The sequence below is a fragment of the Homo sapiens genome, chromosome 20, assembly GCF_000001405.40.
Source record: "Homo sapiens chromosome 20, GRCh38.p14 Primary Assembly".
Classification (NCBI taxonomy): Eukaryota; Metazoa; Chordata; class Mammalia; order Primates; family Hominidae; genus Homo; species Homo sapiens.
The window spans coordinates 21,725,563-21,743,076 of NC_000020.11; the positions used below are offsets into that span (position 1 = coordinate 21,725,563).

The following is a 17,514-nucleotide window of genomic DNA, read 5'->3' on the forward strand; positions in this document are numbered from 1 at the left end:
TATTTTGATGTTTATATGCAGAAAGTAAACTGGAAAACTGAAGAAGTTATATATATACATGGAACATATTTAAAATATATATATTTTTTTCCTGATTTTGGCTTAAATCATGCAGATGGTTCAATTCTTGTTTTTAGCTTTGTTTTGGGTCTGTAGGCAGCCACAAAAGCAGATAAGTAACACAGTGTTATGAACAGGTCATTTTGATTCTACTGTTTTTGGTAGGATCAAAGGCAGAAGGTTAATCTAATGCAAATGCTTGTAACTGTCGGCTTTTAAACTCTGTTGGGTGAGGGCAAGGTTTAAGTAAGCACCTGAAATGCTGGCCACTTACATGGAACCTGAACACTTGGGATTTTGAGATGCAATTGCCCAATCCTTAATGTTCTATGCAAAAAAAAAAAATTTTTTTTAACTGAAGCTTGGCATTCAGTTTAGAACTAGGAAAACAACCTGCTGTTTATACAGAGGAGAAAAAAATTCCTTGCCTTTATATGAAAACAGAGTAGCTCCACCTCCTTCAGCCCTGAAATGCAGGCATACAAGTTCAGTGGCATTCAGGAGCTTTGGCTCTTTTACAAGTACGAGGATCATCTTAAGAATGCATGACATGCAATACGACCAGGTGAGCCTCCCTACTGCCTTCCTGTCTTGGTCCATTTTCTGTTGCTTACAGTAGAATACTTGAAACTGGGTAATTTATGAAGAAAAACATTTATTTCTTACAGTTCATGGAGGCTGAGAAGTCCAAGATTGAGGGGTTGCATCTGTTATGTGCCTTCCTGCTGGTGGTGACTCTGTGGAGTCCGAGGTGGTGCAGGCCATCACGTGGCAAAGGGCTGTCTGTGCTGGCTCTTGTCTCTCTTCCTCTTATAGAGCCTTTAGTCCTAATCTCCTGATAACTCATTAATCAATAACCCATTAATTCATTAACTCATTAATCTTTTAATCCATGAATGGCTTAATCCATTCATGAAGGCAGAACCCTCATGACTGAATCACCTCTTAAAGGTCTGACCTCTCAATATTGCCACATTGAGAATTAAGTTTCAACATGAGTTTTAGAGGGGGCAAATATTCAAACCATAGCACTTTCCAAATCCAGATTTTCACTTGTGTTTGTAGAAGGTGGGACCAGTCATCATGATGTCAGAACAACACGGAGGCCAAGAGTGAGGCTCTGAATTCAGACCCGAATCTGAGCCCTTGTTCTGCTGCTGACTGTCAGTGTTAATTGGGGAAGTTACTTGCTCTCCTTCAAGCCTCAAGTTCTGCATCTGTAAAATCGGTGAGCCATCCATGGGTGAACCATCGGTAAAATGGGTGACTCCTTGACCCATGAGATTGCCATGAAGGTTTCCCTGTAAACACTCTTAGCCCAGGATCTTGGCCAGAGATCACTATTGGCAGTTATTATCTAATTATGGAATTACACTTTGGGGTCTTCAAAGATAATAGATCTCAGATTTTAACTTCAAATATTGCCCCCAAATTGTTTGCAGAACTTTCAGCCTAATGACATCCTCACATTTTCCCCCGTCCTAATAGATCCACCTAATTCAGTTAAAAAGAATTCAATCACATCTTTTTAAGAACTAATCAAGTGAAAAACTCATGAAATATATTTTTGACTGACTTGACTAATCTAATTGGTAAAAGGAATTGATCTAGAAGGTTTGCTCTTTGTGTTCTGAGCAGGGTAGTTTCATGGGTGTGAGACCCCTGTGCAACCTCGTACTTAGTTTAATGCTTTGTTGTTACCCTCTTGACATTCTTAATACTTTTTGAGCAAGGGGCCCCACATTTTCTTTTCACACTGGGCCCTGCAAATTATGTTGCTGGTCCTGGTCCCAGGAAATACAGTTTACAAGGCAATAAAGGCCAAGATAGTCCTGGAGAAGACTGCACCAGGACACCTGGTTGGCTTGTGAAAATGAATGAGTTCAGAGTCTGCAAGAGGGAGGGCACAGACCTTTCTAAATGTCATAGTCGTTGATTTTTATCTTCTCCCTTGATAAATTAAGAGTTTTTTTAAACATTGACAAAACAAATAATAGTTTTTCCAATTTATAGACAACTTCATAATGTTCACTGAAATAGTTATAGACATCTTTTCCCTCTGGTGAATATTCATATAATCATGGAGGGACTGAGAATTTTGTATATATGATATTAGAAACTCTAAGTCACAAAGGAAAAGACTGAGACATTTGGCCTAATACAAACAAAAACTTCAGCTTATTTCAAAACATTATAAATAGCATTAGACAATAAAGAATACATCTAGGAATAGAATTGTAATGTATAGCAAAGCTTTAACAATTCATCTAAGAAGCTCTTACCAATCAGTAGGAGAAAGTGGTTGAGTGAAAATAATATGATTTATATAACAGTCACAAACTGCAAGTGAAAATGCCCAGTAAGCAAGAGAAACAAATGTCCACTTCAGTAGTGATCAAAGAAAGGCAAAATAAAATCAGCTACCATTTTTTTTTTTTTTTTTTGAGACGGAGTCTCGCTCTGTCGCCCAGGCTGGAGTGCAGTGGTGCAATCTCGACTCACTGCAAGCTCTGCCTCCCGGGTTCACGCCATTCTCCTGCCTCAGCCTCCGCAGGAGCTGGGACTACAGGCTCCTGCCACCACACCCAGCTAATTATTTTTGTATTTTTAATAGAGACGGGGTGTCACCGTGTTAGCCAGGATGGTCTCAATCTCCTGACCTCGTGATCCGCCCACCTCGGCCTCCCAAAGTGCTACGATTACAGGCGTGAGCCACTGCGCCTGGCCCCATTTTTTTTTTAAACTGAATATACAAAGATCTGTTAAAATGTTGAGGGGCCAGGGGAGCCTGGTGGTCCGCAGAGGGAGGAAAATCGGTGCTGCTGTTCCTGGGATCCCATCTGATATATCAGTGCAAGGCTGGGGTCCCCAGTGAGCTGACTCAGATGGAGATGAGCCTGAGGGATGCCTGTTGGTGAGAGGTGAGGCCAGCTGAACTTCCTGGATGGAGTGGTGACTTGGGGAACTTTTCTGTCTTACAAGAGGATTGTAAAATGCACCAATCAGGAACTTTCTCCCTCCACAAGAGGATTGTAAAACACACCAATCAGCACTCTGTAAAGTGCACCAATCAGCAGGATACTAAAAGTAGCCAATCGCGGGGAGGATTTAAAAAAGGGCACTCTGGTAGGACAGAAATGGAAAATGAGAGGGGACAGTAAGGGAATAAAAGCTAGCCACCCCAGCCAGCAGCAGCAACCCGTGCGGGTCCTCTTTCAGGCTGTGCAAGGTTTGTCCTTTCACTCTTCACAATAAACCTTGCTACGGCTCACTATTTGGGTCCGTGACCCAAATCTTTAAGAGCTGTAACCCTCACCCCTAAGGTCTGCAGCTTCATTCTTGAAATTAGCGAGACCATGAACCCACCGGCAGGAGCAAACTCTGGACACATTGGGAGCTGTTCCTGGGATCTGCACCTGGAGGGCAAGGGGCAAGAACGAAGCAGGAGTGGGCGGCAGAAAACTGTCTGCCAGGCTGTACGGACGGGGCAGCTCTGAAGATGAGTGGCCCTCCAGAGCCGTCCCAACTTCCGGCGAGAGAGTCGGAACTTTAAATCCCGGAAGTAGGCCAGGTTGAGCATGGTTTGGGGGTGACTCTGCAGCTAAGGCCACCCCTCAGGGTTGGCTGCTGTGGCCTGGGCGCTGTGGCACTCTCAGCAGCTGCTTGATGGGTCTTGCGTTCCAGCACATTCCACACCATCAGAGGCGGAGCACGGAGGACCTAGGATGTGAGGACTGGGGTGCTGGGGAGGAGCGGGGAGGAGGTGGATGGATATGATTCCCTTAGCTTTTTGAGGGCCAGTATGGGATTCCACGGATGCAGCTGACAGCACGTCTGGGCCCAGAAGTGGGGCACGCGGACGCTTCCACGGGTGTGCTGGGACATAGCCGCTTCCTCTCCACGCTGCGCCCCGGGGCCAACCACAGGCCGGCTCGCTGCTGCCAGTTGTAGATTTCCTTGTGAATTGCCTGCAATTTCACTAGGCCTATCCACAAATATCAGTTTACAGTATGCTTACATTTTAATAAAAACTATTTACATAGCAAAGGTCTGGAAGTATATACAGTACATCAAAGTATTGAAAATGCTGTCCAAGCGGTCGTTCAGGAGTTAAAAAAAATTTTAAATCTATCTGTGTTTCGAAAATTTTTCAATAAAGATGTTTAATGTGACAGTATATTTTAAATTTCTACCAAAAGTGGTGTAACAGTAATAAAAAATGCCAAATAGAATCATTCAAATTTATTAAAATATGTGACTATAAAATTAGAAATAAAGAAGGTTTAGAAAAATAAATAAATGAAAAACTGTGGAAGTGTAAGCATAGTAGAAAAGAACAGTAAAGGAATAATGTAGGGAGGATGTAAAGACAGTGAGGTAAGAAAAAAGAAGGTATGGCAAGAAGAAGGTAGAAAACTAACTTTATTCATACAATTTTTCTTCTGTGAGTCAAGAAGTTAGAAGGTGAAAGTATATTGAGAAAAGATTAAAAATGCAAAGAAAAAAAGATCTGAAATTTTCATACATCAGTGGTAATAACATTTAAATCAATACCGGAATTTGAATTTTAAAAGAGAACTCATTTTTTTTTTTAAGGAAAGAATCTTTGAATTATTGTCAGAAAAATTGAGGAACAATATTTTAGTTTTCCGCTATTTAAACATTTTTACTATTAGCAGGGACCTACGATGACAGCATTTTATTAGTACAGGAGCAGAGAAACAATGGTTTGGAAAATATAATTGAAACTGGAAAATAAATTGACCAGCCTAATTTTATGAAGAAGACAAAGGAAAGGAAAATACCACCATAGGAATAAAATGTGGCTGTGTTTAACTTATAAGTGAGAGCTAAATAATGAGTACACAAGGTTATAAAGACAGAATTAAGAGACTCTGAGGACTGCAGAAGCTGGGAGGATGAGAAGGGGTTGGAAAATTACCTGCTGGGTACTGTGTCCGCTATTTGGGTGATGGGCTCATTAGAAGCTCAAACCCCAGCATTACACAATATACCGATGTAATAAATCTGCATGTGTACCCCCTCAATCTATGTATGAAAAAAATTCCCAGAAATCTAAGCCATTGATTTTCAAATGTTTTAAGTTGGGAACCCCTGTTTTGCTTTGTTTTCTAGAGGGGATCTTTGCGCAGGAGCCCAGTGTATACAGCAGGTAAGGTAGTAATGATGGCTGTTCTGCCTGGGGGTGGGATCCAGCCGCCTCTACCCTGACAGTTACGCACTTTCCCTTCCCCTCTCCTCCCTGCATCCCCCGTTCCCAGCTCAAAGTACAGGTTTTTAATATTTATGTAATAATGGATAATACAGGTTTAATATTTGTGTAATAACGGATCAGAGCAGCCTTGAGACCTCATACTTAGCGTTACACTTGAACAGATCCTTTCACCCACATATCTAACTAAGCAAGTATTACGTTTAAACTTTCTCCTGAGGCCCAGAAAGATGCCCTTCACATCCTGGAGAGTCATTTATAGTATTTTGGAAAACAAGTCTAAAACACAAATTTGTGTTCTCATTAGGAAGATTTAAGTTCCCCGAGGAGAAGACCAAATTCATTTATTGAAATGTGCGTGTAGGAGTTGAATTGTTGAATTGTCGAAAGATGTGTTGAAGCCTCAATCCCCATTACCTGGGAATGTGATCTTATTTGGAGACAGGATCTTCGCAGATGCAACTAAATTAACATGAAGTCATTAATGTGGGCCCTAATCCAGTATAACTGGTGTCCTTATAAGAAGAGGAAAATGCCATGTGGAGACAGACATACTGGGAGGATACAGTGTCACAACAGGGCAGAGGTTGGAGTTGATGCAGCTACAAGCCGCAGAATGCCAAGGACTGACAGCTACCCTCAGATGCAAGGAAGAGGCAAGGAAAGGTTCTGTCCAGAGTCTCAGAGGGAGCCTGGCCCTCCTCACACCTTGGTTTTGGGCTTTTGTTGTTGTTGTTATGAATGGCAACCCTAGGAAACTAAGGCAGTATGCCTTAGTTTTTAATGCCAAATAATTCCTATTTTTAATAATTTTAAGAATAAAGGGAAAACATTTATTCTCAACATCTTAGGTAAAGGCAAGCCCCTCAAAGACAGTTTCTATGTCTGATTTATTTTTCCACTCATGTAGTTTACAGAACTGTGCCTGGCATATGTTGGACACTCAATGATTGCTGGCTGAACAAATAAGGAGATAACCACGTGGAAGATTTGAGTCAAATCCTGATTGAGGGAGGTTAGAACCTGAACCTACACAATGCTGAAATAATCATCTTTGGAGGGGAAATGTCTGTCATCTTAATTTTGGGGATTGTGTGACAGTCATATAATGTTTTCAGAGGTAAAACATGGGAGAACGGAGTCACATGAAATTTTATACTCTGACTTTGGTTTTAAATATAAATCCAGGCAGCACCAGGACATTTTAATTAGGGTTCACGCTCTTGAAATTTTACTTTTAACCAGAATTTGAGCCAAAGCTGTGGGAACAGTTGAGGAACCCAAGATGAAGGTCTTTGAGCAAATTACCCACTCACCCCTATTTTAAAGGGCCACTCTGTCAATTAATTTGATTCCTAGATGGTATAAGTTTAGGCACATTTTGCCTTTGGTTTCAACTTACTATATCAATAATTCCTAGTTACATAAATATGCAAGAATGAGCAAATGGTTATCCTCAATTTTATCAGGTACTGTGGGTGCTAGATGTGTTCAGGCACACACACACATACAGACACACACGCACACACACTTTTTTTTCAATTGCAGAGTTTTAAAAGTATTACTTTTCTGTAACTTTTTTTTTAATTTTGAAATAATTCTAGACTTACAGAAAAGTTGCAAAAATGATACAAGGACTCTTCATCAAGATCCCCCAAATTTATATTTATGTCTAAATCCTTCAGTGAAAATTTCCAAAAGACAAGGACATTTCCTATAAACCACAGCACAATTATTAAAATCAGAAATTAACATTCATATGATGCTATTATCCAACTGATAGACTTTCTATCAATTATCCAACTGATAGACTTTCTATCAATTGTTATCAACTGATAGACTTTTCAATCAATTGTTTCCTTCGTCTGGGCCAGAAGCCAGTCTAGGATCACACATTGCATTTAATTTGTGTCTGTTTAGCCTCCTTTCATCTGGAACAGTTCCTTAACCATTGTTTTCATAACCTTGAGACTTTTGAGTACAGGTTAGTTATTTTGTAGAATATCCCTCGATTTAGGTTTTCTTTTTTTTTTTTTTTAAATGATGAGATGCAGGTTTGAGATTTCCGGCAAGAAAGTTGCAAAAATGATGCTGTGAGCATTTCAATTTCTTCTATCTTGAGGCCCACGGTGCCCTATTGTTTCATGACTGGTACACATTGTCATGGGCTGAGTCATGTCCCCTAAAATTCAGATGTTGAAGCCCTAACCTCTAGTTTCTCAGAATGTGGTAGGATTTGGGGACAAGTTCTTTAAAAAGGTGATTAAGTTAAAACGAAGTCATTAGGGCGAGCCCTAATCCAACATGATTGGTGTTTTCATATGAAGAGGAAATCTGCTGGGTGCGGTGGCTCGTGCCTGTAACCCCTGCACTTTGGGAGGCCGAGGTAGGTGGATCATTTGAGGTCAGGAGTTTGAGACCAGCCTGACCAACATGGTGAAACCCCTGTCTCTACTAAAAATACAAAAATTACCTGGGTGTGGGGGCACACCTCTATAGTTTCAGCTACTTGGGAGGCCAAGGCATGAGAATTGCTTGAACCTGGGAGGCAGAGAAGGCAGTGAGCTGAGATTGCACCACTGCGCTCCAGCATGGATGACAGAGTGAAACTGTCTCAAAAAAAAAAAAAAAAAAAGATAAAATTTGGACAGACATGTACAAATGGAGGATGCTATGAAGACTCAGGGAGAGAGTGGCTGTCTGCAAGCCAAGAAGAGAGGCCTGGAAGAACAGTCCCTTCCCTCATGGCCCCCAGAAGGAAACAGCCCTCCTGATGCCTCGATCTTGAACTTCCAGCCTCCACAGGTATGGGAAAATATATTTCTGTGATTTAAGCCACCCAGTCTGTGGTACTATGGTAGCCCTTGCAAACTAACACATATGTTAATGTTGATAAGTTGATCACTTGGTTAGATGGTGTCCTCAATTCTCTTTATTGTAAAATTACTATTTTTTTCTTTGCGAGTGATAAGTGTGTTGTGGGGAGAGAGTGAGACTCCAGATCTCCTGTTCTCCATCATGCCTTCAGGCCACACAGTTCAGTATCCACTGATGATTCTGTCTTTTTCCCCTCTGTGGGGCTTCGCTTTACTTTTATTTATTTATTTTTATTTCAATAGGTTTTTGGAAAACAGGTGGTGTTTGATTACATGAATAAGTTCTTTAGTGGTGATTTCTGAGATTTTGGTGCACCCATCATCCAAGTAGTGTACACTATACCCAATGTATAGTCTTTTATCCCTCATCCCACTCCCACCCTTTCCTCCGAGTCCCCAAAGTCCATCATATCGTTCTTATGCCTTTGAATCTTCACGGCTTATCTCCTACTTGTAAGTGAGAACATATGATGTTTGGTTTTCCATTCCTGAGTTACTTCACTTAGAATAATGGTCTCCAATTCCATCCAGGTTGCTGCAAATGCCATTATTTCATTCCTTTTTATGGTTGAGTAGTATTCCATGTTATATATATAACATTTTCTTTATTCACTCGTTGATTGATGGGCCTTTGGGCTCGTTCCATATTTTTGCAGTTGCAAATTGTGCTGCTATAAACATGCATGTGCAAATATCTTTTTCATATAATAACTCATTTTCCTCTGGGTAGATACCCAGGAGTGGGATCGCTGGATCAAATGGTAGATCTACTTTTAGTTCTTTAAGGAATCTCCACACTGTTTTCCATAGTGGTTGTACTAGTTTACATTCCTACCAACAGTGTAAAAGTGTTCCCTTTTCACCACATCCATGCCATCGTCTATTATTTTTTGATTTGCAGGAGTAACGTGTTATCTCACCGTGGTTTTGATTTGCATTTCCCTGATAATTAGTGATGTTGAGCATTTTTTCATATGTTTGTCGGCCATTTGTATATCTTCTTTTGAGAATTGTCTATTCATGTCCTTAGCCTGCTCTTTGACGGGATTGTTTGTTTTTTTCTTGCTGATTTGTTTCTTTGTAGATTCTGGATATTTGTCCTTTGTCAGATGTATAGATTGCAAAGATTTTCTCCCACTCTGTGGGTTGTATGTTTACTCTGCTGATTATTTCTTTTGCTGTGCAAAAGCTTTTTAGCTTAATTAAGTCCCATCTATTAATCTTTGTGTTGCATTTGCTTTTGGGTTCTTGGGCATGAAGTCTTTGCCTAAGCCAATGTCTAGAAGGGGTTTTCCAATGTTATCTTCTAGATTTTTTTTATGGTTTCAGGTCTCAGATATGTCTTTGATCCATCTTGAGTTGATTTTTATATAAGGTGAGAGATGAAGATTCAGTTTCATTCTTCTACATGTGGCTTGCCAATTATCCCAGCACCATTTGTTGAATAGGGTGTCCTTTCCCCACTTTATGTTTTTGTTTGCTTTGTTTAAGATCAATTGACTGTAAGTATTTGGGCTTATTTCTTGGTTCTCTATTCTGTTCCACTGGTCGATATGCCTGTTTTTATACCAGTACCATGCCATTTTGGTGACTATGGCCTTATAGCGTAGTTTGAAAACAGGTAATGTAATGCTTCCTGATTTGTTCTTTTTGCTTAGTCTTGTTTTGGCTATGCAGGCTCTTTTTTGGTTCCATATGAATTTTAGGATTGTTTTTTCTCTATTCTGTGAAGAATGATGGTGGTATAATATTTTGATGGGAATTACACTGAATTTATAGATTGCTTTTGGCAGTATGGTCATTTTCACAATATTGATTTTACCCATCCATGAGAATGGGATGTGTTTCCATTTGTTTGTGTCATTGATGATTTCTTTCAGTAGTGTTTTGTAGTTTTCCTTGTAGGGGTCTTTCACCTCATTGGTTAAGTATATTCCTAAGTATTTTATTTTATTTGCAGCTATTTTAAAATGGGTTGAGTTCTGGATTTGATTCTCAGCTTTGTTGCTGTTGTTGTATAGCAGGGCTACTGATTTGTGTACATTAAGTTTGTATCCTGAAACTTTGCTGAGTTTATTTACTAGTTCCAGGAGCTTTTTGGATGAGTCTTCAGGGTTTTCTAGGTATGCAATCATGCCATCAGCAAACAGTGACTGTTTGGCGCCCTCTTTACTGATTTGGATGCCCTTTATTTCTTTCTCTTGTCTGATTGCTCTGGCTAGGACTTCCAGTACTATGCTGAGTAGAAGTGGTGAAAGTGGGTATCTTTGTCTTGTTCCAGTTGTTAGTGGGAATGCTTTCAAATTTTCCCGTTTAGTATAATGTTGGCTGTGGGTTTGTCATAGATGGCTTTTATTACCTTAAGGTATGTCCCTTCTATGCCAAGTTTGCTGAGTGTTTTAATCGTAAAGGGATGCTGGAGTTTATCAAATGATTTTTCTGTGTCTATTGACATGATCCAGTGATTTTTTGTTTTAAATTCTGTTTATGTGATGTATCACATTAATTGACTTGCAGATGTTAAACCATCCCTGCATCGCCTAGTATGATACCCACTTGATCGTGGTGGATTATCTTTTTGACATGCTGTTGGATTTGGTTAGCTAATATTTTGTTGAGGATTTTGCATCTATGTTCATCAGGGATATTGTTCTGTAGTTTTCATTTTTGTTACGTCCTTTCCTGGTTTTGGTATTAGGGTGATGCTGGTTTCACAGAAGGATTTAGAAATGATTCCCTCTTTCTCTATCTTTTGGAATAGTGTCAATAGGATTAGTATCAATTCTTTGAATGTCTGCTAGAATTCAGCTGTTAATCCATCTAGCTTGGACTTTGTTTTGTTGGTAACTTTTAAATTACCCTTTCAGTCTCACTGCTTGTTATTGGTCTGTTCAGAGTTTCTGTTTCTTCCTGGTTTAACTTAGGTAGGTTGTATATTTCTGGGAATTTATCCATCTCCTTTAGGTTTTCTAGTTTATGTGTGTAAAGGCGTTCATAGTAGCCTTGGATGATCTTTTGTATTTCTGTGGTGTCGGTTGTAATATCTCCCATTTCATTTCTAATTGAGCTTATTTGGCTCTTCTCTCTTCTTTTCTTGGTGAATCTCACTAAAGGTCTATCAATTTTATTTATCTTTTCAAAGAATCAGCTTTATGTTTCACTTATCTCTTGTATTTTTTTGGTTTTGATTTCATTTAGTTCTGCTCTGATCTTTGTTATTCCTTTTCTTCTTCTGAGTCTGGGTTTGGTTTGTTCTAGTTTCTCTAGCTGCTTGAGGAGTGACCTTAGATTATCTATTTGTGCTCTTTCAGACTTTTTAATGTAGGCATTTAATTCTGTGAACTTTCCTCTTAGCACAACTTTGCTGTATCCCAGAGGATTTGATAGGTCATGTCACTATTATCATTCAGTTCAAAGAGCTTTTAAATTTCCATCTTGATTTCATTGTTGACCCAAAGATCATTCAGGAGCAGGTTATTTAATTTCCATGTATTTGCATGGTTTTGAGTGTTCCTTTTGGAGTTGATTTCCAATTTTATTCCAAGTCTGAGAGAGTACTTGCTATTATTTCAATTTTCTTAAACTTGTTGAGACTTGTTTTTTGGCCTATCATATGGTCTATCTTGGAGAATGTTCCATGTGCCGATGAATAGAACGTATATTCTGCAGTTGTTGGGTAGAATGTTCTGTAAATACATGTTAAGACCATTTGTTCTAGGGTATAGTTTAAGTCCATTGTTTCTTTGTTGACTTTTTGTCTTGATGACCTGTCTAGTGCTATCAGTGGAGTACTGAAGTCCCCCACTATTAATGTGTTGCTGTCTATCTCATTTCTTAGGTCTAGTAGTAACTGTTTTATAAATGTGGAAGCTTCAGTTTTAGGTGCATATATATTTAGGATTGTGACATTTTCCTCTTGGACTAGTCCTTTTATCATTATATAATGTTCCTCTTTGTCTCTTTTAACTGCTGTTGCTTTAAAGTTTGTTTTATCTGATATAAGAATAGCTACTCCTGCTCACTTTTGGTGTCCATTTGCATGGAATATCTTTTTCCATTCCTTTACCTTAAGTTTATGTGAGTCCTTATGTGTCAGATAAGCCTCTTGAAGACAGCAGATACTTGGTTGGTGAATTCTTACCCATTCTGCCATTCTGTGTCTTTTAAGTGGAGCATTTAGTCCATTTACATTCATCATTAGTTTTGAGATGTGAGGTGTTATTCTATTCATCATGCTATCTGTTGCCTGCCTGAAAACCTTCGTTTATTTTTTAATTTTTAATTTTTTTTAAATTGTGTCATTGTTTTACAGGTCCTATGGAATTTACGCTTTAGGACATTCTATTTTGGTGTATTTTGAGGATTTGTTTCAAGATTTAGAGGTCCTTTAAGCAGTTCTTGTAGTGCTCGCTTGGTAGTGGCAAATTTTCTCAGCATTTGTTTGTCTGAAAAAGACTATATCTTTCCTTCATTTATGCAGCTTAGTTTCACTGGATACAAAGTTCTTGGCAGATAATTTTTTTAAGGAGGGTAAAGATAGGACCCTAATCTCATCTAGCTTGTAGGGTTTCTGCTGAGAAAATCTGCTGTTAATCTGATAGGTTTTCCTTTATAGGTTACCTGATGCTTTTGCCTCACAGCTCTTATTTTTTTCCTTTGTCTTGACTTTAGATAACCTGATGACTATGTGCCTAGGTGATGATTTATTTTTTATGATGAATTTCTGAGGTGTTCTTTGAGCTTTTTGTGTTTGGATGTTTAGACCTCTAACAAGGCCAGGGAAGTTTTCCTCAATTATTTCCTCAGATATTTTTCCAAACTTTTTGATTTCTCTTTTGCCTTGAAACACCAATTATTCTTAGGTTTGGTTGTTTAACATAATCCCAGTTTCTTGGAGGCTTTGTTCATTTTTTTATTCTTTTTTTTTTGTCACCGTTGGGTTTATTCGAAAGCCTTGTCTTTGAGCTCTGAAATTCTTTCTTCTACTTGTTTGATTCTGTTGCTGAGACTTTACAGTGCATTTTGCAATTCTCTAAGTGTGTCCTTCCTTTCCAGAAGTTGTGATTGATTTTTATTTATGCTATCACTGAAGATTTTCCCATTCATATCCTGTATAATTTTTTTTTTGATTTGTTTAAGTTGGACTTCACCTTTCTCTTGTGCCTTCTTGATTGGCTTAATAGTAAACCTCCTGAATTCTTTTTCTGGCAGTTCAGAGATTTCATCTTGTTTTGGATCCATTGCTGGTGAGCTAATGTGATTTTTTGGGGGATGTTAAAGAACCTTGTTTTTTCATATTACCAGAATTGTTTTTTTGTTTCCCTCTCATTTGGGTAGACTACGTCAGAGAGAAGATCTGGGACTCAAGAGCTGCTATTCGGATTCTTCTGTACCACAGGGTGCTCCCTTGATGTAGTGCTCTCCCCCTTCCCCTAGAGATGTGGCTTCCTGAGAGCTGGACTGCAGTGATTGTTATTTCTCTTCTGGATCTAGCCACCCAGCAGAGCTACCAGGCTCTGGGCTTGTAATGGGGAGTGTCTGCAAAGAGTCCTGTGATACGATCTGTCTTCAGTTCTCTCAGCTGTGGATACCAGCACCTGCTCTGGTGGAGGCAGCGGGGAGTGAAGTGGACTCAGTGAGGGTTCTTGGTTGTATTTTTGTTTAGTGCGCTGGTTTTGTGCTGGTTGGCCTCCAGCCAGGAGGTGGCCCTTGCAAGAGTGCATCAGCTGCAGAAATATAGGGAGGATCAGGTGGTGGATGGTAGAGCTCCCAAGATAATATGTCCTTTGTCTTTGGCTACCAGGGTGGGTGAGGAGGACCATCAGGTGGGGCAAAGTTAGGTGTGTCTGAGCTCAGCCTCTCCTTGGGCAGGGCTTACTGCAGCTGCTGAGGGGGATGGAGGTGTGGAGGCCAATGGAGTTATGTTTCCAGGAGGATTATGGCTGTCTCTGCTGTGTCATACAGGTTTCCAGGGAAGTGGGAGAAAGCCAGCAGCCACAGGCTTCCCCCAGCTCCCATGCAGCCCAAAAAGCTAGTCTCTCTCCCAGCATGCCCCGCTCCCCCCGCCACACCCCAACAGCACTGAGTTTATTTCCAGGCAGCCAATGAGCAGGGCTGAGAACTTGCCCCAGGCTATAAGCCTCCCAGCTGGGAAAGCAAGTCGACTCACAGTTCCTCAGCTGTCTCACAGAGCCTGCAGGGGCAATTCACCTCCTTCAAAGGGCCTGTGGATTCTCTCAGCTTTCCTGGTATGTTCCTGTGGTAGTTCCTGGAGCAAAATTTCACAATGTGGTCTCTGCATGCTGCTCTGTCTGAGTGGGGCTGCAAGTTACACCTGCCTCCAATCAGCTATTTCCCCCAACTGATGATTCTTGCTTGAAAGAATGATTATTGTGGTGGCAGCCAAATATATTTTTAAAGTAAACTATTTTATCAAAGTAAAGCATATACAGAAAAGTGTACAAATTAAAGGTTCATATCTTGATGAATTTTCAGATGGTGAACACATCCTTTTGGCCTCTGACTTGCTCAAGAAGAGAATAATATCTGCACCCAGAAACTTCCTTTTGTTCCTCTCAGTCTCCATATCCCACTTTCCCTCAATGCTAACTGCTCTCATGATTTCTTATCCCAAATGAATATTAATTTTTCCCAATTTGTCCTAATTTCCATTTATATTGTGGAATAATTCATTATGGATTAATTTTGTGTATGTTTTCTTTCAGTTAGCATTCCTTTTATGACTGTATACTATTCCATTGTGTAGAATATACCACTATTTATCTATTCCAATGGGGATATATATTTGGGTAGTTTCCAGATTGGGGCTGGTATGCATAAAGCTACTGTGAATATTTTAAAAGTATTTTTGTTGGCATGTTTTTGTTTCTCTTCAATATCTAGGAGTGAGATTTCTGGGTCATAGAGTGTGTATATGCTTCTAGAAACTACGAAACACTTTTCCAAAATTGTTGGCTTCAACATACTCTTCCCACCAGCAATGGGTTACTCCAGTTACTCCAGATCCTCACCCACACTAAGAAAGTTTTGCGTTTTTCATTATGTCTATTCTAGTGGGTGTACAGTGATACCACATTTTGGTGTAAATTGTATTTTTGGATGACTAATTATGCAAATGCTTTTTATTGACTTGCTGGACATTTGTATACTTTCTTTTGTAAATCTTTTGCATATATGTATGCCAAAAATCTTTTGGGAGATAGAGATAGAGAGAGAGAAAGAGAAAGAGACAGGTCTTGCTCTGTTGCTGAGGCTGGAGTGCAGTGGCATGATCACAACTCACAACTCACTGCAACCTGGACCTCCTGGGCTCAAGCAATCCTCCAGTCTCAGCCTCTCAAGTAGCTGGGACTACAGGTGTGTGCCACCATGCCTGACTAACTTTTGTACTTTTTGTAGATACAGAGTTTCACCATGTTGCCAGGCTGGTCTCAAACTCCTGGGCTCAAGTGATCTGCCTGCCTTGGCCTCCCAAACTACTGGGATTACAGACATGAACCACCCTGCATGGCCCTTTTGCTTATATTTTAATTGGGTTGTTTGCCATCTGCTTATTGGGTTATAAGACTATATTTCCTGTATTGGTTTCCTAGGAATATCTCTTTTAATTTAATTTTTAAGTGGTTGCTCTATGACTAACAATATGCATCCTTCAATTATCAAAGCTTACTTAAAGTCAACCTTGTACCATCTCTCAGTTTGTACTTCACACCTGGTCTGAAATGTTTCACTTCCTACTTTACAAATGTCATAACCTTACAAGAGTAAACTCCCCTGAACCTGTTCCCCTGACATGAACTTCAATATACTTTGTAAACCTCACCTTACAGTGTTATATTTTTCTCTGTATAGTCAGTTGTGTTTTAAGACAATTATGAGAAGAAAAGAAACTCCATGTTATTTTATGTTTTCCTACTCACTTATCATTTCTCATGCTTTTCCTTCTTTCCTGTAGATAGACATTCCTATCTAGAATCAATTGCCTTTGGCCTGCGGAACATTCTTTACTATTTCTTATAGTACAGATCTGCTGGTGATGATTTTTTTTCAGTTTTTATTTTCTGTGAAAATGTCTTTGCCCTCATTTTTTGAGGTTCTCAGTGTTCTCTTTTTATTGTTTTGCAGCAGAATGCCCACATAGAACATAATTGCAAATATTTGGCAGTGCAAATGAGGAGCCAGTGCTTAAGTACAAATGGGACACATGTTTCTTTTGTTTTACATAAATATTTACACACAACTCAGGCCCTACAAACAACTAGACTCTAGGTCTGAGCAGCAGAGAAAATGCCCCTGGGCCTGCTTCCCCCCAGCGATCAGTTCATGGAATTGATCATGGTTATTGATAGTGATGCTGATGGTCGAACGTGATCACAACGCACCCATTTTCTAGAGCCTTCCCCCACCCTCCACAGACATATCTGGCCAGGACAGACAATTGGAGTTTCTTGAAGGTCAATGGTCTGCAGCTGTTGAGCACTCACCATGATTCTGTTGTTTCCTGTTTCTGTGGAGGAGACAAACGCACTTCATGACTCTCTTCAGCTCCTCTTACAGGACCAGCACCAAAGCCCCTGACACCTCCAAGGACATTGGACCTCGCCCTTGAAGAAGCCTTTGCCCTTTTCATCTTTAAAGATCTTCCTCCAACAATCTAGGGTCCCTGTATACATGATGTGGGCTCCTTTGAGCTCCATGTGGGAGGATAGGAGATCATGTTGGCCATGGCCCTCATAGTCTTTGCAGTAACTCAGCTTGCCAGGATGTGCATGTTCTTGGGGCTGGGGAGCATGCCCTCAGCTGTATCCTACTAGCAGAAGGAGGCTGCTGGGTAGATGATGATGTCTTGCATGAGATGCTGAAGCCCTGGTACAGGCCCTGGGTCCATTGGATTTGGTGATCCTCACCGGCCAGGCTCCCAGGTCTTTGAACTCATGCACTGTGCCCAATTTCCCAATGTCTGCTGCCAGGAGGTTCTGGGAAATCCAGGGGGTACATGAAGCAGAGTGAGGTGGTGCCAGCCAGGCCACCCAAGGCCGGGTGGCCAGCGAAGCACCTCCAGAACTGCATGCGCTTGTCTGCACCCCCAGGAAGAACTGCTTGTACTTATCCTTGAAGGCAAAGTTAAGGGCTTGCATGGGAAGTAATGGATGGCACTGGCAAGGTTGCCCTTCCAGGAAGACAGCCCCATGCTCCTTGGAGATGCAGAGGACGCAGTCCATCCACCACACTTCGTGCTGCTTGTGGGCTGCAATCTGCTACTGGCATGTTGCCCCTGCAGCAGCAGCAGCTTGACCTGCTGGATCTGAGCCACGGCCATTTGGG

General features: G+C 40.5%; 1 pseudogene, besides 1 other annotated feature; it reads right to left on the reverse strand.

Annotated features, from left to right (window-relative positions):
- Positions 13,665-14,166: an enhancer, noted in NCBI's record as "H3K4me1 hESC enhancer chr20:21719865-21720366 (GRCh37/hg19 assembly coordinates)". NCBI's record gives its function as "activates a minimal SCP1, AML or CMV promoter by ChIP-STARR-seq in primed H9 embryonic stem cells {active_cell/tissue: H9 hESC(primed)}" and the evidence as "EXISTENCE:reporter gene assay evidence [ECO:0000049][PMID:30033119]".
- SLC25A6P1 (solute carrier family 25 member 6 pseudogene 1) lies at positions 16,790-17,514 on the reverse strand (annotated as a pseudogene).